This window comes from Homo sapiens, chromosome 3 (assembly GCF_000001405.40).
Source record: "Homo sapiens chromosome 3, GRCh38.p14 Primary Assembly".
NCBI lineage: Eukaryota > Metazoa > Chordata > Mammalia > Primates > Hominidae > Homo > Homo sapiens.
This window is the reverse complement of record NC_000003.12, coordinates 69933354-69958213: the sequence shown is the minus strand read 5'-3', so window position 1 is coordinate 69958213 and position 24860 is coordinate 69933354. Positions and strand designations below refer to the sequence as shown.

Sequence of the window (24860 nt, the reverse complement as noted above, 5' to 3'; positions counted from 1 at the left end):
GCCAGCAAGAAGAGAAATCAGAATTGGGATATTTGAAGGGTCACTCAGTTTAAAAGAAGTGATTGTTTCAACCAATTATCTTGGGTTTTGCTTCCTTGTGAGATCCAATCAATCAATTATGCTTCTGAGTTTAAGAAAGGGTTTTCAAACTTTTTTTTTGTTTGGTAATAAGAGGGACTCTTTTTTCACAGAATAGTGAATATAGATCTCCATTATATAAAATCAACAAATGCAGACTTGCTCTGGTGGGAGAAAAGGTACCGGGCTGAGACCCCAGTCTGTAAGACTGTGTCTCTATAGCAGCCCCAAGGCACATTCTAGAAACCTGGTGTGGGAAACCACCATATAGATTATAGTCTGTTTTGTCTTAAAACAATGCCTACAATTAAAGATCATTATCAGTTCAGATTATAAACCCGCAAGTATTCTAATACAACGGGGAAAGAAGATATGCAAATAGAGGCTTTCACTGCAGCCCCATAATTTCATAATATGTTGCTAAAGAGATTCACATGCTACAGTTTAAAAGAATATGCTAAAAAGTGAAAGCTGATAAAGAAGAGGAAAATGGGAATTCAATTTCAACTATCATGCAAGACTGACTATAGGAAATGAAGGTCACAGCCCTTTAGTAGGATAAATTTGTGCTGCAGAACTGAGAATCTGAAATGTTTCGGGTTTGAAAATGCCTTTCCTTGAAACCTGGGAAAGCAAAACATTGAAGATGGAATTGTGCTTGTACATTCATCAAAACCACCTCACAATAGGTAATGGTTTTATTTTATTTTGTTACAAATCCTCTAACAGTAACGTGAACAGCAAATTTAATAAGCCTGGCATGAATAATACTTGATTTCATCTTTACATTTTATTAGGTAGCTAAAAGGTCATATTCAAAGGCTAATTTCACAGAATGCCTGTGGGGGCCATTAAAATGTATACATTTTCTAGCCCCTTGCTTCAAATGGGCCAATTTCTAATGGATAAAAACTGTGTGTTTGTTGTCCTATCTGCTGATGTTGCAGGTAACTATAGGCTGGTAGGAAAGACTTGAGAAAATCATCTTTACAGCTGTTATCTCTGAAGGGGACAGGGTGGGTAAAGAGAGACCAAAAGCTGAAATCTAAATTAGCTGACCTGTACTTAATAAGAGGATTAAAACACTACTTTTTTTCCCCTACAATGGTAAAACATACAAAGAGTAGGCAAGTTTTCATAAAAATAATTGACCCTTTTTGTCTGTGGAGTATCATTAAACTTTAAGTCTCTAATGTCTGTTCATCAGTGCCTATTTAGAGGTACTGTACAAGTCAAAGAGCAAACAGTCAACAAATCTAGCTTTAACAACTATTGAAAGTTCTGTTCTGCATGAACCATTAAAGGAAATTTTTTTTAAGCTCAGTATTTGTTTGCAAAGAATTCTTAGGTTTCAGAAAGCCACCTCCTCACAACCAAAACATCTAGTGTCCAACAATCCTTTTGCACAATTCAATGCTTTTGTCTTGAAATTTTAGCTTGATGAGACTAACCAAAAGAAAGGTGTAAGAAGAATTTAGGAATAGAACCAAAGGGAGAGGGGAGACTTCTTTACTTTAGTTTTTACAACTGCATTTTTTACAACGTATGAAAAAACATTCAGGTACGAAAAATATATGATGCAGATTAACACGCGATTGTACTCACGGATCATTTGACTTGGGAATCAAAGTACCTAGTTCTTTAATGCGGTCATTTATGTTAAATCTTCTTCTTCGTTCAACTTCAAGAAAAGAGCACAGGAAAGGCTATTAGTAACAGTGCCATGTATGCATTTAGCACATCTCATTAAAGGCATGTGCATATTAACTTCTCCAGGTCATGACAACGGAAACCTGAACCTACTTTTTCCCTATTTTTACTATGTTCTTGGTATTGCAGTTAAAAATGAGCTACATTTCTTTACCATTTCCAAAGCCCTTAGATACAGACGATTTCTCATTTGTTCTTATAACAACCCTGAAATCAGTTACTATCCTTAGTTACAAATAATGAAATTGCCTTGGAGATACTGTTATTAGGGACTTGGCGAGGACATCCAACAATATCTGGTGAAAGCCCAAATTCTAACCTAACCCCTTAGAGCAGAAGTCAGCAAACTTTCTGCAAAGAGCCAGGAAGTTAGTACTTCTGGCTTTGTGGGATAAGTAGCAAAATTGAGGATATTATGCAGATATTTACTTAAGCGGAGGGAAAACAAATTTCCACACATTTTTTACTGACAAAATTCAAAATATAACATACGAGTACAATTTTTTGCAAGGCAAATCAATGAAAAGCATTAGAATTTACTTGTCATGCTGAAATTTGCGTTGTATATACTTTTCATGTCACAATTTTTTTTTTAGCATTTATTTATTTATTGAGACGGAGTCTTGCTCTGTCACCCAGGCTGGAGTGCGGTGGCAGGATCTCAGCTCACTGCGACCTCCATCTCCTGGGTCATGAGATTCTTGTGCCTCAGCCTCCCAAGTAGCTGGGACTACAGGCACATGCCACCACACCTGGCTAATTTTTGTACTTTTAGTAGAGAAGGGGGTTTCACTGTGTTGGCCAGGTTGGTCTCGAGCTCCTGACCTCAAGTGATCTATCCGCCTCAGCCTCCCAAAGTGCTGGGATTACAGGTGTGAGCCACTGCGTCCGGCCTTTTTTAACCATTTAAAAATGTAAAAAACATTCTTAACTCATGGGCCACACAAAAAACCCATGCCCTAGCCTAGTGCTACCCAACAGAAATATAATATAATTTACATATAAGTTTAAATTTTCTAGTAGTACTATTTAAAAAGTAAAAAGAAAGACATGAAATTAACATTTTCTTAAATCCATTATATCCAAAATATTATTATTTTAACAGGCAATCAACGTAAACATTTACAAATTAAGTACTTAACATTCTTTTCTTCACTCTAAGTTTTTGGAATCCAGGGCGCATTTTACACTTTCAGTTTTACGTCACAATTTGGACCAGCCATATTTCAAGTCTGAGTAGGCACCAGTGGTGAATGGCTACTGTACTAGATAGCACAGCCCTAGAACTGAAGTCTAGCATTTTTAGCTGTACCATGAATCTTCACAGCATTCCTATTTTATAAATCTCAGTGTAAGGTCAACTATCATGTTCTTAGGGGAGGATGACATAATAAGGCATATGACATGATAAATGTCTCTAATTAATGTAGTCAAACAAATAAATTCCAAATAATTTAAAGTCTAACAAAATGGATTAAAGTTGTTAATAGTTACTCTAAATACCAGAATATATGCTTCTTTTTGTTCCACTAATAGTCTGTACACCTAGATAAATAATGTGATTCCCTGCTTTCCCAATATAAATTGCAGTTTGTTTTGGCTGAGGGATTATTCCAATGATGAAATCCGTTTTATATAATACGAAGTCCTACCATTAGGCTTGTATAAAATAGAAACCCTAAATGATGGTCAATGGTTTTGAAGAAGGAATTGTGGGGTCCTTGATCCACTAGCTAACCTTCCCCAAAACTCTGAAGTATGATACTTTCTTCTTATTTTTTTTCCAAGCACATAATAATCATAAAATTACTCTAGCCCCTCTGGCTCCTTGCTATTCCTCAAGCAAGCCAGACACGCCCCATTGGAGGACTTCATAAGGCTGTTCCACCTGCCTGGAACACTGTACCTCCAGATATGTGAACAGCACTGCACTCACCTCCCTCAGGTAGACTCAGATTTACCTAAGAGACTTTCTGGTCACCCTCTTTGAAACTGATTCACTACCTCCCATGTCCATGCTGACACTATACTCCCTTGCCTGCCCTTTGACTCCACGTGGAACTTTCTGCCATCCCATATTCATGTATCCCATTGATCTATTTGTTATGTTTATTCACTGTTGCATTCCAAGTAACCTTGTGCATCTGGCACATAGTACGCTCTCAACAAATATGTGTTAAATAAGAAACAAAACATTTAAAGTGGGATCATACTAAAAAGGACTCTGCATCTTTTTTTCACTCACCAGCATATAGCTGACACCTTTCACTGTCAATATTTAGGTGTACTACATTTTATTTTTAGTTCCATGACTTCCCTTTCCAATCATTTATTAGAAAGAAGATATAAGCTAGTAAAAAATTTCAAAAAATACAAAGGTGTATTAAAGAAAAAGTAAAAGCCAAGTCTTTATACTATCCAACATCTATATGCCTGGGCAAATTGTCACTGATAAGGGTGATGTCTAGATTGTCTCCCAAGCACATATACATTCATATAAACACAGAGACAAGCACGTCTCTCCCCAGTGTGCTATTTTTACACAATGGGATATTATACATATTATTCTGACCCTTGCTCATCTTACTCAGCAATACATGGTAGATGACCCCTAACTCAAAGGCAAGCTTCCCAGGATGGGAAACTCATTTTCTGGTTCACATTGTAGAAAAGTGCCTCACACAAAACAGGGGCGCTCTCTCTCTCTTTCTTTCTCTGTCTCTGTCTCTGTCTCTGTCTCTCTCTCTCTCTCTCTCTCTCTCTATATATATATATATACATACATATATATATATACACACATATATATATATACATATACATACATATATATATATACACACATACACACATACATACAGTAATGGCTGATTGAATGAGTGAATAAATGAATGTATCCTTTTGTACATTTTGGCAATATTCTTACAAAATAAATTCCTAGAAGAGGAACAGCTTGACCAAGGGGCAATCTAACCTTGAGTATTAATTCCCAATGGTTGGCTGAGACTTTTAGATTGCTTCATAGCCTTCAGAGTTTGAGCTGATCATGTTTGCACTTTACTGACAACCTTGACCTTGAGAGTTCAGGTGCCTAATTACAGGTATCTATTGTTTTTGACAAGATCCAACTCAGTTTTCCACATCTCACTTAAGTAGTTTTGGATAATGCCTAATTATCTTGTTTCTAAGGTGTTTTAAAAGAAGAAATATCTTAGGGTAAAATTACTTAGAAGCTGGAGGAGGCCTTGGAGATAATAGTTTATCTCTTGGTTAAAAGATAAGGAGAGCTTCTTACACTTGACATGAGAACTGGGGAGGGGTGTAGCTTTTAAAGTAAAAACCAGCACCCACAGGACCCAGAAGTTGTGCCTCTCAGTTCGGTTTCTAACCTAGAGAAACAAACTTTCTTGTACACAAAGAGACACATATAAAAATGTTAACTGTGGCATTGCTTATGATAGGAAAAAACTAGAAACAACATAAACACACAGCAGTTGGGAAGTTACTAAATATCATACAGTCACACTATAAAATACTATGCAATTTGTTTTCAAAAAGTAGATAGATCTAGATTTCTAACAGCAAAAGGTCTTCAAAACATGCTGCTTAGTAGAAAAAAATCAACATAAAATGGACAATATGATACCGTTTGTGTTAAAACATATAGAAATCCATATGATTTATTTTCTGTGTGCATGTGTCTATATTCTTAATACACAGAAAAAGGTCAGGAAGAGCAATGCCAAATTGAAACCAACACGCATATTCCTGGGGACTAAAGGGGAACTCTGGCCTTATTCTATCATTTTTATAAGGAGAAAGTGTTTATATATGACTCACATTCTTAAAAATCAATTTAAGAAACAGAGGACATGAGGCCATGAGATGAGAAATTCACACACAATTTCCTACCTCCAAGCCCAATCCCTTTTTAAAAAAATCTGTGCAACTTGTCTTACATGTTTATATTAAACCAAAATTAAAGTATTCGTAGGAGACAACTTGAAGATTTGATCAAGAGTAAATTAAACACGTAAAAAATATTTTAAATGCTTTAGGGCTATTTTTTTTAAGTCACGAATCATGTCAGAAATTTAGGAGGCTGCCTCATCCATTTACTCCCCTTCAGATCTGTTTCTTTCTTTCTTTTTCTTTCAAATCTCATTGGAGAAGGTGCTTCCCTAATCCCCTTTTGTTAATAAGTTCCAGTGTGAGCAACACTTATAATTGGGTAGTTGGGGATCAATTCTCCCTCTTACCAAAAAGAGAGAGAGAGAGAGAGAAAACCACTACTAGAAACAAGAAAAATAAAAACTCTTCAGAAACTGAAAATAAGTATATATACAAAATTCAATTTGATCTGAGATAAAATATGGGGAAAATATATACCTTGGTTTCTGTCAAATACAATTTTCTTCCATAAGAGAGAATTTTAACAGCTGTAGGAATCAACTCTCCTCTACAGAATTTCTGGAAACATTTTTGATATATGGGGAACATTAATATCAAATGTCATGAACATAAATAAAACCAACTTACTCAGGTTGTGATTGTCCTTTTTCTGCCTCTCTTTGGCCAGTGCTCTTGCTTCAGACTCTGTGGGAAAAATACACGCTGTGCACGTGAATGAAGTCATTAGAAGTTGGAACTGTTTGAAGTTGCACAAAATGTAAACTACAAAATATCTCATTTCCCAAACATACAGAAGCTTATTTGACTTGACTCTAAGTAAAAATACGTTTTTTTAAAAATGATATCTTTTTAAAAAGCTTGCATGTTTTCAAAAGCAATATATATATCATATATACAATATGTAAAAACTGGGCTTCCACAAAATGGTAAAAAAAAACCCTGGTAAAAATTATATATAGCACACTGTAAACATATACAGATACTAGCAAGAAAGAAATCGATAATTAGAAAACTATGTCAATTTGCTGTTGATACTCTATTATCAGGGGTCTGATATATTTTCTTTTCAGGCCATAGAAGCTTTCAATCCTTTTTTGATGCCTGTGTAACGTGCTGATATAAAAACTGAGTAGTGGCCCAGCATGGTTGCTTGCACCTGTAATTCCAGCACTTTGGGAAGTGGAAGTGGAAAGATCACTTGAGCCCAGGAGTTCAAGATCAGCCTTGGTCTTTACAAAAAATAAAAAAAAATAAGTCCAGCATGGTGGTGCATGCTTGCAGTCCCAGCTACGGGAGGCTGAGGTGGGAGGATCACTTGAGCCCAGGAGGTCGAGGTTGTAGTGAGCCGTGATCACACCACTGCACACCAGCTCAGGAGACACAGAGAGACCCTGTCTCAAAAAAAAAAAAAAAAAAAAAAGCTGCCAAATTGGATCTCTGTCTCTTCTAACTAGTTCACTACTTCATAGAATGAACTCATTTTTTCAGAAGTTGGTGCCAGATTCTGTTAAAACCTGCTGTAATGAAATCATCTAATAACTTAGGAACCACTATTTACTAGCTTGAGTCTATAAAAACAAAATAGGAATAGAGGCATTTGGTGGCAACTGCAATTGGAAAGCTCTATTTGCATAGCAACTCTTGTGACATCTCTGGGATAAGAGATTACTTTTTGCCTTACAGAGAACAAAACAAAACAAAACAGAATTAAAAACAAAACAAAACATGTTACTTGACCAATCTGGGGATCCAGAAAGCTCTGTTATTTCCTTTTCAGAAGTGATAGCTGAAGCATTACACTACCATAATTTAGAATTTTATCTCAAAATAGAAATCTTTTTAGCATAACTTATAGCCACTGAAGCATATATATATATATATATATACACACCATATATATTTATTATATGGGTGTTATATATGTATATATGCATATCTATATGCATACATCCATGTATATATGCATATCTATATGCATACATCCATGTATATATGCATATATATGCATATCTATGTGTGTGTGTGTATGTGTGTGCATATATATATATATATATATATATATATAACTCAGAAGTTGAATTCTTTCAGTTGTGATGGTCAGTTCAAATCATTTTCTAGTTTTTTTTTCCTCACACAGAAGCATGACTTACATACCCTCCACTTCAATGATTCTTAAGTTGTTGTTGTTGTTGTTGTTTTGTTTTGTTTTGCTTTGTTTTGAGACAGGACTCATTCCTCTTGCCCAGGCTGGAGTGCAGTGGTGTGATCACAGCTCATTGCAGCCTGGAACTCCTGAGCTCAAGCAATCTGCCTGCCTCAGCTTCCCAAAGTGCTGAGATTACAGGCGTGAGCTACTGTGCCTGCCCGACGATTCTTGCTTTTGTTGTTGTTGTTGTCTTGCAGTAATTTTCCTTTTTGGTAGGGTAGCTACTTGTGTTTTGGTTTTGGATGGTTTTTACTTATTAATTACTCTTTTCACTCAAATCCATGGTTTTTAAAAAACATCTTTCTCCTGCTTATTTTCTAAAAAAAATTTTTTTAAGACATCCTTGACTGGAACAGGAATTCTCTGTACCAAATCCATATTCCATATTCTCAGTCTGTTCATCCAATCCTGCAGGATGCAAGGATCAAATAATAAAAAGAGGGGTGTGGTAAGGGCCATAAAATTCACCATGGTAGAATGCCAGTTCTAATATAGTTTCCGCCATGTTTTAATGACCAAATAAATGCCTTCCCTAAAGCATTAAGCAAAGTAGAGAAATAAGTAATTTCACACTTGCCTCAAGAACAAATAATATCCATTGCTCCATTTTATAATTTTTTCCCCTCTGTGTAATAAATCTTTTGCACACAATACAGCAAAAGACAACAGGAGGCATCTGAAGATGTGAGAAATATATTCTTATGCTATCCCAATTGTGGGCTTGAATGTGTGTCAAAGGAAAATTCAGATCTGGGTTCTCAAATGCAAATGCCTCTAGGGGCTTGTTAGAAACATACATATCAGGTAGGGTGGAGACAGTTACAGCTGAAAGAGTTGCCTACTATCCCCAACACAAAGGGGACCTTCACCACACACACAGTGATTGGTGACATGCAGTAATGGTGGCCCCGATTCCCAGTATCTCAGGAGATTTTCAAGGATCTCCTTGAAAAAAAACAGAATTTTCAAGTATAAATTCTCCGTCTTAAAATATTGCATAATGTTTTAACCACTGCAGAGACCTATAAAAGTTACGTCCATGAGTTGGATATAGTTTGCACATCACTATATCAATAACTTTGTCTTATCAGGAAATGGACAGAAATCTGCAGTAAGAGGCACATTTACTAGGTGTTTACCTGTGAGCTCCCTTTTTATGTTGGGAAGGTTGGCTGGACAGGAGTTGCTGATGGTGAGGCCTGGTGGGGGCAGACCTTGGTTTCCATAAAGATCAATCAAGTTTCCCGAGACAGGCAACTAGAGAGAGACAAACAGTAACAGAAATTAACTGTTGAACAATTCCCATGTTTTTTCAGATAAAACCTATATCCTACTCTAGGATTTATTTAAGAAAAATTATTTGATACAAAAAATCATTTTTAAAATAGGAAAATATGAGATGTTTACTTTTTCATTCACAGGTATTAAAAGAGAGGTACAGGATCTCCTCAACCAGTTCCCTTTGAGGCAGGAAAGTACAGTCTCACACCCATAAAATGACTACTCTAACTAGCCAGTCAGTTTATTTTGAGCATGGAGGCAATGAATAATGTGGTGAATGCATTATCTAGTACAACTAGTAGCAAACAGTGGGTGTTCAGGAAATGTTGGCTATTATTGTAAAACAGGATTGTATATAAAATGACCTTTTCACCAAATAGGACTTTCCATTAAAGTTAATTTTGTTCCTTCCTTCTCGTATCCACCTCTTCTTCTCACTTTTTCTTTTACAAGGAAAAGCAATGAAAGTTTTTTTTTTTTTAATTGGAAATGATTTCCTTATTGCTAGAGAGAAAAAGCGTTTCCTTGAAATTGAAATTTTCCACAAAGCCACAAGAGGGAGCCCACAGACTTTAAAAGAGAGCAAAAATTTACACTTTCAAGAGAATAATAATAAAAAAAAAAAGTAAAAGAAATATTTAGCCTTCCCCAAGCTAGCGTCAGAGTTTTTCCTCTAGTTCTGAATGGGCTGTTTTAAAGCAGCGAGTCCTCCTTTGGTTGTGTATGTGCATTTCTTGGTAACTAGCTGGTTGCAGCAGTTTATAGGCCTGTTTTTGTAGAAAAGGCCCAAGTTGATCTCCCTTCCCATGCCCTGAAATACAGTTTGAAATAGTAACTATGGAGAAATCGTTGACTGACCTCACTCCTTCCACTGCAGACACGTACCATTACTAGATTGATTCAAACAATTTCTATAACCATGATTACTGGGTAAGACTTTAAGTCGTTTAGCCCTCCCATTTCTTGATTACACATGGAATTGTATTCTACATCTGAGAAAAGTACATTCAGAAAGCATTTAGGTGTGATTAAAGTGTTTAGTGACTGAGAAGTATCTAGTAAAAACTGTATTCAACAGAGTACCTTGCATCCTCTCCAATGACCACTAACATACAGATGAAAATATACCACAAAATACAAGTCGAATGTGCTTCCCCTCATTGATAACCATTGCATCTATTTCTGTGATAGCCTCTAAACATATACTCTATGAATTAAACCCCTAGCTAAAGAGATTTGGGTGGGAGGCAATGGACATGGAATAAGATACTTCTTGATGGGTGAATCAGACACTGGCTCGAACAGAATTGGGGTAGGCAGGGAGGACAGACAGACCAGCAGAATACAACTCCCTCTTTTGCTCCTTTTTGAAAGCAGCGTTTATAGTATATGCATAAAACCTAATACACATACCCCCATACACAGGCACAAAAATAGACATCGTGGTCATTTAAAATGCCCTTGTATGGTATTTCAAGGCCCTCTAACTAAGGAATTGATAAAAAGTGACTTTGATTATTAGCTGTCATTTCACTAAGTGGTTTTAGTTGAAATAGGTTACCTTCTCAGGGTCAACCTTGCTCTGTGTGTGTTTAGTTTTATTCTTGTCCAATTTAACGCAAAGTGAAAGGCACTCACATGTTTCAAAACAGCCCTGTAAAGTACCAGAAAGACTAAACTTATACAGCTGCCATGATGTCTGGTAACTCCTTGGATTCCAAAGCTTTATTCCCCTATCTTTTGAGAATTTTGGATTTTGGGAAAACGTTGAGGTTTTAACAAACCAAGAATGTGACTTGAAAATTCAAAGCAATAAGCTAAAAGAAAAATTATTCCACTTGCTCTAGAAAGGTAAATCACACATATGGTTTTCATAGGCAAATTGTATGCAAAACTCACTGTGTTATTATGATGATTTGTTAGGGATAAATAATAGCAACTGATACACATCTCCAAGTCATTGATAGACCTATGTTGAACAGATATCTAATTCTAAGCTTCTTCTGGACAAGAACATATTTTCTAACTATATTCTAAAGAAGAGATATGTACATGACTGAGAGAGAGAATGCTTTCTGCCATAGACAGCGAGATGGACAGGGTGGGGGAGACAAAGAGCAACGTGGGGGATACCTAGTGAGAAATGGATTGAGATGCATGAAAAACTACAGAAAGTACTGCTGTGATTAGCATGGATTGACGACAGTGCACATCAAAAAGGGAAATGAATTAAAATCCCTATAGCAAGATGCCTCATTGGGCACTCTACTGAGATCAGACATCATTACTTCCAGTTGAAAAAGCTTATAGCCCTCTATCTACTTCTCTGAAAGATTTCCTGCTTCGGCTGCTTTTCCCATACTTGCTGATTAGGAGTGGGAAGCAGAAAGCATGGCAGAATATTTTGCTGGGGGTCATCTCATTTTTTGGGTGCCTACTTTGGGCCAAGCACAGAATTAAAATGGCACTTTGTGTATGGCATCTTACTGCTTTTTACAGAAAGAAAAGCCAAGATTTTTGCCATTGCCTAATGGAGGTTTTTGGTCGGAGGCTCACGTCCCATGTTAACAGCAGAACTGGGGGTGGGGAGAGTATCAACATGCTGATATTAACCAGTTAGAAACTGCAAACTTTCAATTCATCTCCAATTAGACCTGAGGAAATAAAAACCCTGCCGCTTACTAGCCGAATGTGGATACTCCAATTTACCGATTAATGGTGCAGAACTTTATAGCCTGTGCTTAGGAGTCAGAGATCCGGATTAAAATCCTGCCTCTTTACGAACTTGCTATGTGATATTAAGCAAGTTCTCTGAGGCTTAGTGTCTCCAATTGAAAAGTGACAACATTCTTCTCACAGGGGTCTTATAAGATTTAATAGAGATAAAGTAGGTGAAACAGTGCCTGCTACTTCAGTGATCAATAAGTGGTAACTGCTATGATTAACAATACAGTATTCTAATTTTCTAGGGAGTACTGGATTCCCACTTTACAGTTTTGACAGGTGAGCTAATTTTCACTTGATCAACAAAACCACTTGCTATGTTAATTACTAAGTACATTGTCAACGATTAGACAATTTTTTACCAGACTGCAATGCAAATCTAGGAACAGAAATCAGGGAATCTGCAAGGCTGAGGTGACCAGTCATTATTCCAAGTCAGGCATTCCACACTAGAGCTGATTTTGTTTCCCCGGATCAATATCTGGAGGTATTTTCAGTTGATGCACCTGCAGGGGATTTGCTGCTGGCATCCAGTGGGTGAAGGCCAGGGATGCTGTTAAGCATCCTAAAATGCACAGGACAGTCTCCCACCACAAAGACTTATCCATCCCAAATGTCAACAGTTCCACATTTGAGAAACTGTGTCCTAAATGGTGGTGTATGTTCTTTCTATCAACCGCTCTTATTTGCTGAAGCTACTAAAAGGAAGGTTGATGGAAATAATTTAAAATGTGTCTCCTAGCCATGCATTTTAAAGAAAGGATTCTGTAGTTGGTTCTTCTGCATTAGAAAACTTTCCCGATAAATACAGTTAACATCATAATTAGGTCAAAATAACACCTTTAGAGCTAAGAAAAAGGAAGAGACTTCTTCTATTAACATGTATATTTCACATCTTTGTGGGATTTTTATCCAGGCCATTTACCTAAATGACAAGATTTCACTTCCAGAGCACAAACTGCACCATGGACAGATGAAAGCCACAGTCTAATCCGGACAAACAAATTGAAGGAAGATGCGCCTGGGTCTATGCCCCCATACTGGTCTGAATTGAGTTCTTCAATGTTGTGCTCCACCAAAATGAATATTTTTCCAAGTAAATGATAATTGTAAAACGTTATTATTTTTTCTCTCTGGATGGTCCCCTTTTCTGAATATCAATTGAGCACTGTTAACACAAGTAAACTGGGACTTTTATTCTTTGTTTGTGATAGTACAAGAGGGCCCTTGTGCTCTCAGAATAGTTATTTCTAGACTTCAATTCCCTTAGGACAGTTTCCTCTCTAAGTGTTCCTTCCACTTTATTTTTTCCTAAGTAGTTAACTTGAAATAAAGCATTTCAAATAATCAAATAAAAGAAAAAAATGCCTAACACGAAGAACATTAAACTTTACTGTGGGAAAAAATTAAAATGTTAATAGGTTGCAGTAGCTTTGTTACTTAATTTTGACAACTAAAACCCAAGTTCATCAAGAATAAGAGCTAGTAACTTACTTTTAGTGAGAGCTTATCAGGGCCCAACTGTTCTAAATGCTTTTTGTGGGCTACCTCTTATAATTCTCCCATTAATTCTATTGCAGTAGATGCTATTATGATCCCCATTTTACAGACAAGGAAACACAAGCAGAGAGGTTGAATCACTCCGTCAAGAGTATGTATTCAGATGTCTGGTTCAGAGTCTGTGCTCCTAATGTTGAAGTTACATTGTCTTTCCCCTAATGGCAAAATGCTGAAATAGATTTGTTGAAAGACTCTAATGGAGCCACATTTAGCCTTTCCAGTATGGGGATAAAGAAGAGAAGTGGATGCCGGGATAAAGTCAGTGACTTCTAAGGGTGGCTGCAGGGGACTCCTCTCCTGTCTGGGAGTTAATTCAACTCTGCCCAGAGGATCTTTCTTATCTGGAAATTCCCTTGAGATGGCCTCTCTGCTCCTGAATTGTCCTTCTCCCCTCAAGGGCTAAAAGAGTCTCCCCCTTCTAGACTGGTAACCCCCGTGAGAACAGGAAGCACACCTTAGTCACCTTCGCATCCACAGCACCTTGCCTGGTGCTGGCCACCTATTAGGCATATCCATAAATGCTAAATTAATCTTTAATATACTTTCGGAACAACGAGATAATGAAGGAACAAGGCCTCAACGCTAATGTAGATGGAATGAAGAGGTATGAGGATTCATTCTACTTTTTTATTTTTAAATGTGTTTTCTAAAAACAGGGTCTTGCTCTGTTGCCCAGGCTAAAGGACAGTGGCACGATCATGATTCATTGCATCCTTGAACTCTTGGTCTCAAGTGATCCTCCCATCTCAGCCTCCTGAGTAGCTAGGACTATAGGTATGTACTACTACCCCACCCAGCTAATTTTTTACATTTTTACAGAGACGGATTCTCTCTAAGTTGCCTAGGCTGATCTCCAACTCCTGGTCTCAAGTGATCCTCCTGCCTCAGCCTCCCAAAGTACTAGGATTACAGGCGTGAACCATGGACCCAGCCAAGTATTCATTCTAAAGGACAGAAGCATATATGGGGTCATGACAACTGTCTTCAGAAGGGGTGGTATGTGGAAAAGTTCTCCATGAAGCAAACTGGGACCCATGCTGCAATTTACAGAGTTATTTACTGTGAGGGATATTGTGAGATAGATATGTCTCACAGATAGCTAACATAGAGCTTGATACATTATAGGGGCTCAGTGAAGATCAGCTGAATAAACAAATACTATCAATATTATTTGATATTATAATTAATAAGTTATACTTAATAATTTAGATAACATTATTGAATACAACTTATGTTTCCAATGCTAAATACTACAGATGCTTTACCAAGTGAGTTGACCACATAATATAGGTATATATAACAGCCCCATTTTACAGATGGGGAAATGTAGGGTTTCAGGAAGCTAAATAACATGCAAGGTCACAGAGGAAATGGAAGATTCAGGGTTTGACCCCAGATCTGGTCAGAAACCTCTAAATTCTAACCATTGTGCTTTGCTATTTCCCTAGTGAGCTAGTACAGATCCTTTTTTGGAGGCTTCCAAGAAGCTGGATGCCTTGATTTTTTTGTGGAGAATACTAACGAGATGCAAGAGAAGGTCAGGCCAGGTGTAGTGGCACACACCTATAATCCCAGCTACTTGAGGGAGGAAGATCACTTGAGCCCAGGAGCTCAAGATCAGCCTGGGCAACAAAATGAAACCCTGTATCAAAAAAAAAAAAAAAAAAAAAGAGGAGGCTAATGCATTGAGTACTAGGTTAGACCAAATGATATCAAAGGTCTTTGCCATTACAAAAAAAGTCAATGATTTTACAGAATCATGTCAATTCTACAGTTCACTTGAGTGTGCCCAGGGACCCATTTGACACCACTAGCAAAATGACCACTCTCACAGCAAAGTTCTTTTGAGATGACTGGGCCATTGCTAATTAATGCTGCTAGAGCAGTGAAATGTAAATATACCCATGTCTTTGGGTATATTTATAAATTCCCCAGGGCATGCTCCCCCAAGTGTTTTACTCATGTTTGTCCTAGGATTCTGAGTGCTAGATAAGTGTAGTTTGGCCTCATAGGATGCAACAACTTGTAAGCAGGAAGGTTCCACAGAAGCCAACCAAGGATTCCAAGAGGTTCGGAGAGTATGGCATGGAAACTTTCATCACAATAGTAGAACACCTGGTTCTTCCAAAATCAGGGGGTGGGTTTAAATGGGTAGAAAGTAGACAAACTCTAAATATCATAAAAGAAGCTTGAGGTTTCAAGGGAAGTCCTCACCCCACATGAGTTCAAGGAAGTGAACTTGAAGAATTGGATCAAGATGGATTTAAAAAAAAAAGAAAAGAAAATGCTAACTATAAGACTCAATTTTCTGAGGATTCTGGTGTACCTAAGTAAGTGTTATTTTGTCCTTTGGCCAAGGGAATTTACTACTGGAAGTTAGTCATACCTTTAAAAAATTTCATTATGGTAAAAAACACATAGGATAAAATTTGCCGTCTTAACCAATTTTAAGTGTATGGTTCAGTAGTGTTATGTATGTTCACATTGTTATCAAACAGATCTCCAGAATTTTTCATCTTGCAAATCCGAAGCTCCATACCCATTAAACAACTCCCCTTTTCCCTTTCCTCTCAATAAATATTGGTCTTTAAAACACTAGTTATTAAGAATATGATAGTCTCATAGCATTGCTCTCAGAGGAAACAGAAAAGGATTGGAGAAGGCATTCAAAGACCTACCAAGCAGGCCTGGCTCTGATACACCCAAGCTATGTAATCTTGCGTAAGACTGTCTAACCTAGTTACAGTTTAAAACTGAGGGCAATGATACCATCCGAACTTGACTCACAGAATAACTGCAAGGACTAAATAAGATGTGCAATAAGACTTTGGTAAAACAGTAACATAAGACTAAAATGTAAGGAATGAAGGAAAATAAACAATATAGGCAAGGCTCTAAATTACAGAGAAAAACAAGTAACATACAATAGCAAATAGGACCACTTGTTTATGAACTGAGGTTGGAATAGATTTTGCTGTTGGAGAAGGGTAACTCCAATGTCCCTCTATCACCTAAGAATATGAGAAAACCTTCTTGAAAAACTGAACCAACTTTTTCAGGCCAACTAGAGCACCACTGTGAATAGTGCAGTTCACAATGGTTCCCTTGGCTGCAGTGTACTGGGTTGGGCATTAGATGTCAAGGGAATTGGAAGGGCTAATGCCCTATCAAAACTGCTCGTGGACTCCAGGGAATGTAGAGTTTTATCATGGGATTATTCATAAACTCATAAAAACTTCTTAATTTCTGATGTTAAAGTCACTTATTTGTGATCCTGAGATAATTCTCCATTTTACTATTAATACATTTAATCAGTGAACCAGTTACAAAGATAAAATAAAAGTTTAAGAAAAAAGAAAAGAACCCTGGAAACACCTCAAGATTTTCTACTTAAAAAAAGGTTATCAATACCGTATTTGCCATTTGCAAAGCAGGATCCATCAAGCCCAAGATTTCCTCATTATAACTTGATTCTAGGCTAATGATGTCATCGATTACATCATCCATCTGTAGGAAAAAGGGTAAGAGAAGAGAGACAAAAATAAATAAACTATGCAACACAACCTAAAAAGAGACTCATGGTCTTTTTTTACCCAAAGCAATAATGGTCTTTAGTTAGATTCTAAGAAGTAACTGTCCTCTTTCCACTAAAATAGTATTGAAGTATAAAATAGTATTGAAGACCATTAACACGAATAGGTGATGAGGATAATACTTGTAGCCAGCATTTAATGAGTGATTATGAGTTGCCAAGCATTGGGTTCGAGGATTTTCATAGGCTAAGATTTTGCCCTAACGAAAACCGTATCATGGCAGGTACTATTATTATAGCAATTTTCCAGGTGAAATAAATGAGAAGCAGCTTGCCCAAAGTCACACACTGAAGAAAGACTGGAGCCACAATTTAACCCATGCTTTCACAACTATGCTAAACTGCCTGCCCTAAACAGGAGAGATGTACCACAGCACTTCATCTTGAATGACAGCTGTCATTCTACTTCCTTTTTTCCCTAAAGACGATGGCCCCTACCCTTTTCTTGCAGAAGGAAAACACCGTCTGTAGTGTTCCACAGGGAAGTGTGGACACTGTGGCTCCCAGGCCACTGGCTATCCCTGCACCCATCTTACAGTGACTTGTAAAATAAGTTTCTCCTTGTACAGCTACCAGTGTGCTTGGTACTCCCCAGGGAGTACACCAGGATGAGGTTATCATTACAGTCGTGGAGCTGACATTCCCACTAGATCAATTTTATTTCTAAAGTACCAAAACATAAGTTATGATAATAAACAACAGTGATTACATGTGCATTGCAGCAGTTGCAAAGACAAGCCTGTGAAAACATTTCTTCATAAACACCTTATGTATTTGAGCTAGTTGGTGTGTCTGTGCTTGGGTCTTAACAGGACTTCATAGTTACACAATGAAATCACAGAACTAACAGGGATGCTCTTCTGTCTCTTGCCACTTCCATTAAAGAGGAGAGAATCCAAAATTCATAGGTTTGGGTTGGAATCCCCGTTCTCCTGCTTTCTAGATTAGGGCAAAGCCTCCAATCTTTTAAAGCCTCAGTTTGTCAATCTATAAAATGGGGGTTCATAATATTTACTGTCTTATGGATTCTTGTATGATTTCAGGACAAACTGTACAGAGCATTCAAAGTACCAGGAACATAGTAAACACTCAAAAAAGGAGTCTTATTAATGACCCCTAAAAAGAATAATTGGCCAGTTTTGAATAACTACTATCCACTGTTTGTTAGGTTCCATTTCTATTGACACCACTTTTATTTGTTTTGTTTGTCTTTAAGAGATGATTTTCTAATTGAGTTGGTAAATATGCAAATAGGCTAGGAAACTTATGAACAACATTTCCTTGCCACTTTTAATTTTGTTCTTAGAAAAATAAAATTAGTGGGCTTGATGTAATAGCATTTTTAAAATATTTTTTTCTCTTATGACAAAAATAATGCAAGTTGATGACAGGAAACATAGAAAGGCAACAAATTTTGTTGCTTATCATTCTCTCCTATATCTATATACATGCATAGATATATAAATAGATATAGCATAATTTATATATCCATTAAATAGGATGTAGTAGAAGAAACTTTAGTTATTTGGGAAAGCATCCATTATATGTTATTAAATTAATATAGTTTCAAAATGTATGTTCCATGAGATTCCATTTAGGAAACAATATCTAGATTATACACACACATCTTGGTTTTACTAATACAAAAATTGCTAACCTACAAATTTGTATAACATATATGGATTATGTTAAAGTACATATTTCATATCTTATTAAAATTTATGTACTTTAAGAAGTTTTTAATCTTTGCAGCAACTTAGGGGAAAAACACATTTTAGTTTATTCTCCCTTGTCATTATTTAATCATGAGATACTATGAGGAAAATGGCAATGTTCCTAGCTTTCTCTATAAAAAAAAAAAAAACAATGGGGGAAAAAAATGCTTAAGTTTTCAGGAAGGTGTGATCCACCACAAATATAGATTCTCATTACAAAGTGTTCATCCTCAGGCTGCCAAGTCATTCAGTACCTGCATACAGGACGCTCGTGAATGTGTGTTCATGCCTGGGCACTCGCTCTCTGCCCTGTTTTGCTCTTCAAACTTATAAAATCCCTGCAAAAACACAAGCAAAAACAGTCTATAACTTGGATTTGCAAATGACTTTTTAATGACCTGTTCACACAAAGCTGATGGCACAGCAACAAGATGAACTAAGCTTTCAAACAAAGTGGAATCTGACCAAAAGATGAAATAATGAAGGAAGAACTTGTGTCAAATCATCTTGCTAGATGACAAATTTGGGTAGAGAAAAATAAAGCAGTTGGTTTGGGCATAGGGGCAAAGATTTTAGTCCCTCTAGAAATTAAAATCAATCCAACTCTAGAAAAGTTGCCTCCGAATTTGCATAAACACTTCATAGTCCATAGTACGGTAAATCCCATTGAGATGAAGCTCATCATCTCATAATTTGGAAATAATGAGCATTAAATCACAGCTCTCAGGTATTTGTATGCTGCAAATTTTGATGCACCAATTAGCTTGAAGGTAGTTTGAGTCTTGTTTCCAATCCAGCCTTCACCAAAGCAGATTTAACGGGCAGTGGCAATTTTATTATGAAACAGAATGTATCCAGCAATTAAACCTTTGCGTTTCCGTTAAAGTCTCATGTGCTATATGATTCAAATCCATCCATGCATATTCCATTCTTTCTTCCCCCAACTCAGGGAGAAATAAAAATAATATTCCAGACATTCACAACAAGCGGAACTTCTAAACAGCATGTCCCACACCTCTTCTATTTTTGCTTTTCCTTTTCCACCTCCCCTTCTCCTCTCTCTGCATTCTCACTGCTTCATAAACTGAAAGGCATGGAAGAGAAGAGAGCACTCAGCTAAGGAAGAAGAAGCAAGTGGCAAAAGTGTCCTCGCCTCCACATTTCACTTGGAGAGGGCCAGGTCTCCCGTCATGTGCTCTACACCCAATAACCCAGCGATGGAGACAACAGGCTGGAATGCCACAGCCACGATGGTGAATCGGGGACAAAGGCTGGTAAATGTGGCCACAAGGACAAACTAGAGTCCACAGTTAAGTGTGGGAATCATATTCAACAGACAAGTTATTTAGCATAAGAAAACAGGAGAGGAGAGGAGACATGAATTACCTCTTTTTCACAGTTGGAGTTAAGCGTAAGCATAGCCATGGGGCTGTTGGGTGCGCTGCTCCCCGGCACCGGTGGCATGACATGATCGCCAGGCTGGTTTGGACATGGCAAGCTCAGGACTTGGTTGGCATGTTTATTTGCTAAAGTGGTAGAAAGGTACTGCTTTACCTGCTGCCGTTGGGCTTGCTGTATGTGGTACTTGGTGGGGTTTTCGAGGTGGGTCTGCACCTGAACATAGCCATGGAGGGAAAAGAAAACAGCGCTGTTATTTGTGAGTTTCAGACGGCTCTTCCTTCAGGCACAAACATGAAACTGACCAGGCCACCAACAGAATAAATTATTAAGCCTTTGTTATGTACCAGGCACTGTGCTAACGGATTTTGATATTACTGAAGTTTAAAGTCTAACTAGTAGGATTTGGTGTAATACTTTGCCCTATTTTATTTCCCTGCTAATTAACTATACGTCTCTTTCAAACCTTGTATCCTTCTTCTCATATCTAATAATTAAAAGTTTGAAATTATCTTAGGGCAAAAATTTCCCCAACACACATGAAAGGGTTTATTAAGATCAAACAACAATGTAGAAGTGGCATAATTGTTTGTTTCACTTTCCTTGGCGAACAGAACAGCTTTCTTTTTAAAACACACACACACACACACACACACACACACACACACACACCTCCTTAAGAACCAACTGTGTAAAATGGCTGTAGAAAATAAATATAAATCTTCCAATGATTAAATCAACTAGTTGTGGATTAATTCTCCCACTTTTCATTTGGACATGATTATTCAACATTGTAATTAAGAAAAAACTCAACATAAAAAGCAATTCTACATTAAGTAGTTTCTTTCAAATGCATAACACTTACACGTATGTGTTTTAAAAGACATGACTATTAACAAGCCAACAGGATGTTTTTTCTCCTTTCCTACAGACATTAATTCAGAACGAGAAATACTTTTCCCCAAAAAACAACATTATTCAATTTTAAGTCACTTTTTTCTTGATAAAGACAATTTAATCTTATGAGCAATGAACAGGAGCTGATGAAGATAGTTTAGCCACACACTAGGCCAAAAAAAAAAAAAAAAAAGAATCCTACTAATATTTACTTTGTTCAAAACTACATTGAATTACTTCTTATGGCATCAAATAATAAACAGCATTAAAAGAGCAGATTTATACTTATTGAAAACAGTATGTCTATTACAATAACAAAAAGTGGATTAAATCAATTTATTGCATTATATTTCAAAGACTGAATATGAGTCAGAATAAATCTCACCTGATAGTGATTATATTCTAGCATTTCCAGCATAACAATGTTTTAGGTGGCACCAATCCAGTGAGAGACGGTAGACTATCCCTCCCTCTACTTTCTATAATTCCAATTTGAAGATGGACTGGCAAAGAGAAGGTACTATAAACAAGGTATCCCGAGACACCACCGGAAACTTTATCACAGAAGCCCTGCTTATAATAACCTAAGCTAATTAGTTATGCATGTAAAAAAAAACGTTCACATAAGGGCCTTTTTTTTGGAAGCCCTACGAGTTTGGTCTTAAATGTTGATATCAATTTTTCCCCCTGGCTTGACGTCATGCTTTTTTTCATAAATATAAAAGAACCTTTTTAAGTGACGAGCTATCAAAGTCAAACTCACTGTCAGATCAAGGCCAATTCACTATTCATCTTTAGTTCCAGTAGTATTAATAGACAATGGTATTTCTCTTTCAGCAATAGGTTAATAGCAGAATGCCCCTTTGGAGGAGACATCATCTAAAAGCTACTATTACATGAGACTTTTCCAATGGCCGAATAACTGCCACTTCCGACTGCAGGATGACTATCTTTTAGTATAGAAGAGAAGAGACTCTGTGCTGAATGTTCAAGTTCAACAGCCTCTTCTTGCATCCTGGTCTTAATATGCACCTTATTCTTAGCTACATAGATGTGTAACCTGCCTATTGACCTCACATCAGGAAGACCGGGCACTATCCTAAATAGAACATAGCACACACAGAAGTGGATATATATTTATGTGGATAATAAGAAATAAATATCTCCCCTATTTAATTCTCAAATGAAAAAAGCATGAGCATTTTTGCTGAGAATTTTTACATATTATTCTTAAGATTACAGAAGAATGAGTTATCATATACAACACTGATATATTTACATATTTATTCCTTTATTCATTCATTATTGACTGTTAAGTGCTAAACACTGTACAAAGCATAGAATATACATTGTGAACAAACAGATATAGTTTCCAGCTTTATGAAACTTATATTCTGGGGTGAGGCAAAAAAAGAAAAGAGGCAAGCAAATATATACTTATAAATTATGATAAATGCTTAATATCTACTGCTGACAAATGTTATGTTAAGCTAAAAATTTGAAGTTCAATAATGTTGTCTAAATGCCCAGGATAATGCAGTCCGTTAGGTTGACAATCTCATATTGTTTCAAATGACTGATTTAATATGTACACAGAGGTTCACAGAGATTTTTTTTTTATAAAGGGTCCAGACATGATAATGATGACAGTAGACATTACTAAAATAAACATAAAATGAGGGCAATGAGTAGAATGTGCTTATTTCACTATTACACTTAAAAAGAAAAGAGATTCATGTTTAAAAATAAATGTTAATTCACTGGCAGATCCTAATTCTTTAATGAATCAGAATATTATGCTTTAGTAAAGAAAGAAGCAATTTGCTTTCTATGTGGCACTGTCAGTGAGGTCTTTATTACATCCAGGTTTGGGTAAGCAGAATGGGATATATTTGGCTCTTTTACTGTTAATAACTTTTTATTTTTCACGTAAGTTGAAAGCAGATGGCCTATAAACACTATGCAGTAGACAGAACATCTCCAGCTGTTTCTAACCCAAATACCTCAAACAGGCAACATAAATGAGGAACATGAGCTACGAGGAAGGTAATAAGGAGTAGTGAGGTCTGTGGCAAACCAGAGGACACACATCTATCTAGCAGGAACAGCAGATAAAAACTGCAGCTGATTGTGGCCATGTGGGAATATGAGTCCAGCCTAGCTCAAAATCTCCAAATTTTTCAAGGGTAGCTGGCAATCCAAACTTCTTTTTTAAGTAAAATCCTCCAGGTTTAAAGATCCGATGCTCAACTGTTTTGTGTTTCACAGAGTACAAGCCTCGGCCCACAAACTACTAGAAAATAATCTCTATTTTACACTGTCTATAAGGATAATCTTCATATTTACATTCCCTTGGAGATAGCCTAGGTTATGGGAAGAAGTTTCTCTTCTGAGAAATTAGTCCAAATCCAGGCATTTCCTGGTGCTTCTTTGAAAGACAATGTGCCTGACAACACAGACAGTGGAGTTCTTAACTTGAAACCTGGGTTCAGATTCTATCTTTGCAACTTAACAACCCGTGTACCTTCTGCAATTCATTAACTTCTCCAGGCCCTCATCTCCTAGCATATTGAATGGGAATGACAGTAGAGCTTGCCTCATATGTGTGTTTTCTGCATTAAATGAGATCATGTTTCTAACGGCCTTAGCACAATATCTAAAACAGCAATTCTCAAACATTTTTGTCTTAGGATCCTTTTACACTCTTTAAATTTATTGTGTTTACATGGATTATATCTATCAATATTTAGCATATTAGAAATTAAAATTGAGAATTTTTGAAAACACACGATTATACATTAGTAGATATCTCACAGGATGTCAGAACAATGACATCTCAACACGACATGTAGCCTTCGGAAAACTCTATTGTTTACTGGTGAAATGAGAGTGAAAAAGGAAAACAATATCTTAGTGTTATTCTGAAATAGTCCAGATCTGGCAGAACTCCTGCAAGGGTCTTAGATACAACCAGGGCCCTCTGATCACACTTTGAGAACCCCTGATCTAGAATGTGGTTGGCATTCTAGCATCATCACTGCACCAGCAATGTCACTCCCCACTGTGGACAGGTGGTGTGTGACATAGCCTCTCTATGTTTACTTCCCTCCCTGAGAAGATGCTGGAGAAAGATACTAACCCTGTCCAAACTCCCTCATAGCATTATTATGAGGCTCTATAGCCCTTTGACAACTTAAAAAGCCATATAAATATAATTTTCTGTCTTCAGCCACCCTAATTCATAGCTTTTTAGTCAATAACTTTGCTTTCATTAATTTTTAAATAGCCAAAGAAGTATGCAAATGAGAACATATATGTAGCATTAAAGAGGACAGAAACATCTTTATGATTTCCTGATAATGTTTGCATGTTTTTGACTTTCCAGATGACTAACCACACTAAGAAATTCAGATAGCAAAAGTTGAGTACTGCTGAACACCTGAAGTATAGACAGCAAAATAAAGCTAGAATACTTTATCATAAAATATTATTTATTGATATAACTTATATTTCATATAAATTATGCTAGCTATCTGAGTTAAAGGGCAAACACCCAAAGGCTTTGTAACTTTTATTCATTGTTAGCACTCCTGTAATTTCACCTGTTTCCTTTCTTCATTCAGATCTTGAATGGATAGCAAGAGAATCGGAATGGATCACCTCCTAACTGTCACACTTCAGCTTTACCACTTCCTGGGTAAAACTGACAGGTTATTTTCCATCAGTTTCATTCTAAAGAGATCCTGGAGCACATCACATGTCAGTTTAAGATGGTAGCTATAGATAC

The 24860-nt window shown here is 36.8% G+C and overlaps 1 protein-coding gene across 13 annotated transcripts in view, besides 14 other annotated features; it reads right to left on the bottom strand.

The window, feature by feature from the left end:
* MITF (melanocyte inducing transcription factor) overlaps positions 1 to 24860 on the bottom strand; it is a 228869-nt gene that overhangs the window by 10119 nt on the left and 193890 nt on the right. For 7 of the 13 annotated variants that reach the window (NM_001354607.2, NM_001354608.2, NM_198159.3 and 4 more), the window contains 6 exons: positions 20165 to 20392; positions 19033 to 19116; positions 16883 to 16978; positions 9046 to 9163; positions 6328 to 6384; positions 1684 to 1759 (listed from right to left, as the gene is read on the bottom strand). In NM_001354607.2, the coding sequence (NP_001341536.1) occupies positions 1684 to 1759; positions 6328 to 6384; positions 9046 to 9163; positions 16883 to 16978; positions 19033 to 19116; positions 20165 to 20392 (659 nt within the window). Of the gene's footprint in view, positions 1 to 1683; positions 1760 to 6327; positions 6403 to 9045; positions 9164 to 16882; positions 16979 to 19032; positions 19117 to 19148; positions 19863 to 20164; positions 20393 to 21458; positions 21623 to 24860 lie in introns of those variants that run through there. The other 6 variants (NM_001354604.2, NM_001354605.2, NM_000248.4 and 3 more) reach the window with 5 other exon arrangements.
* Positions 21487 to 21507: a protein binding site, noted in NCBI's record as "SOX10 site F". NCBI's record gives the evidence for it as "EXISTENCE:protein binding evidence [ECO:0000024][PMID:10973953]".
* Positions 21487 to 23816: a biological region, named in NCBI's record as "MITF-M promoter region". NCBI's record gives its function as "regulatory_interactions: LOC107988038 | MITF".
* Positions 21529 to 23768: a promoter, noted in NCBI's record as "BamHI/AccI fragment for -2.3 kb MITF-M promoter". NCBI's record gives its function as "active promoter in MeWo and HMV-II melanoma cells" and the evidence as "EXISTENCE:reporter gene assay evidence [ECO:0000049][PMID:8645245, PMID:10760582]".
* Positions 21655 to 21681: a protein binding site, noted in NCBI's record as "BRN2 site". NCBI's record gives the evidence for it as "EXISTENCE:protein binding evidence [ECO:0000024][PMID:18628967, PMID:18829533]".
* Positions 21735 to 21764: a protein binding site, noted in NCBI's record as "OC2 site MITF-P". NCBI's record gives the evidence for it as "EXISTENCE:protein binding evidence [ECO:0000024][PMID:11478782]".
* Positions 21761 to 21780: a protein binding site, noted in NCBI's record as "CRE". NCBI's record gives its function as "mediates induction by cAMP" and the evidence as "EXISTENCE:protein binding evidence [ECO:0000024][PMID:9700169]".
* Positions 21812 to 21853: a protein binding site, noted in NCBI's record as "LEF-1-binding sites (LBS); includes LBS195, LBS201, LBS218". NCBI's record gives its function as "mediates induction by Wnt signalling; forms complex with Mitf-M and Ctnnb1" and the evidence as "EXISTENCE:protein binding evidence [ECO:0000024][PMID:10747853, PMID:12048204]".
* Positions 21817 to 21835: a protein binding site, noted in NCBI's record as "SOX10 site 7/8". NCBI's record gives the evidence for it as "EXISTENCE:protein binding evidence [ECO:0000024][PMID:10942418]".
* Positions 21835 to 21864: a protein binding site, noted in NCBI's record as "SOX10 site C/D; also known as site 6". NCBI's record gives the evidence for it as "DESCRIPTION:protein binding evidence [ECO:0000024][PMID:10942418, PMID:10973953]".
* Positions 21866 to 21891: a protein binding site, noted in NCBI's record as "PAX3 site". NCBI's record gives its function as "positive regulation of transcription" and the evidence as "EXISTENCE:protein binding evidence [ECO:0000024][PMID:9500554]".
* Positions 21886 to 21898: a protein binding site, noted in NCBI's record as "SOX10 binding site 5; also known as site B or SX3". NCBI's record gives its function as "may synergize with Pax3 to positively regulate transcription; required for response to cAMP; may be antagonized by Sox5 competing for binding" and the evidence as "EXISTENCE:protein binding evidence [ECO:0000024][PMID:10938265, PMID:10942418, PMID:10973953, PMID:10982026]".
* Positions 21899 to 21918: a protein binding site, noted in NCBI's record as "SOX10 site 4; range includes SX2". NCBI's record gives the evidence for it as "EXISTENCE:protein binding evidence [ECO:0000024][PMID:10942418, PMID:10982026]".
* Positions 22009 to 23768: a transcriptional cis regulatory region, noted in NCBI's record as "BamHI/PstI fragment from -2.3 kb to -382". NCBI's record gives its function as "contains multiple sequences important for expression in MeWo melanoma cells" and the evidence as "EXISTENCE:reporter gene assay evidence [ECO:0000049][PMID:8645245]".
* Positions 23787 to 23816: a protein binding site, noted in NCBI's record as "OC2 site MITF-D". NCBI's record gives its function as "positive regulation of transcription" and the evidence as "EXISTENCE:protein binding evidence [ECO:0000024][PMID:11478782]".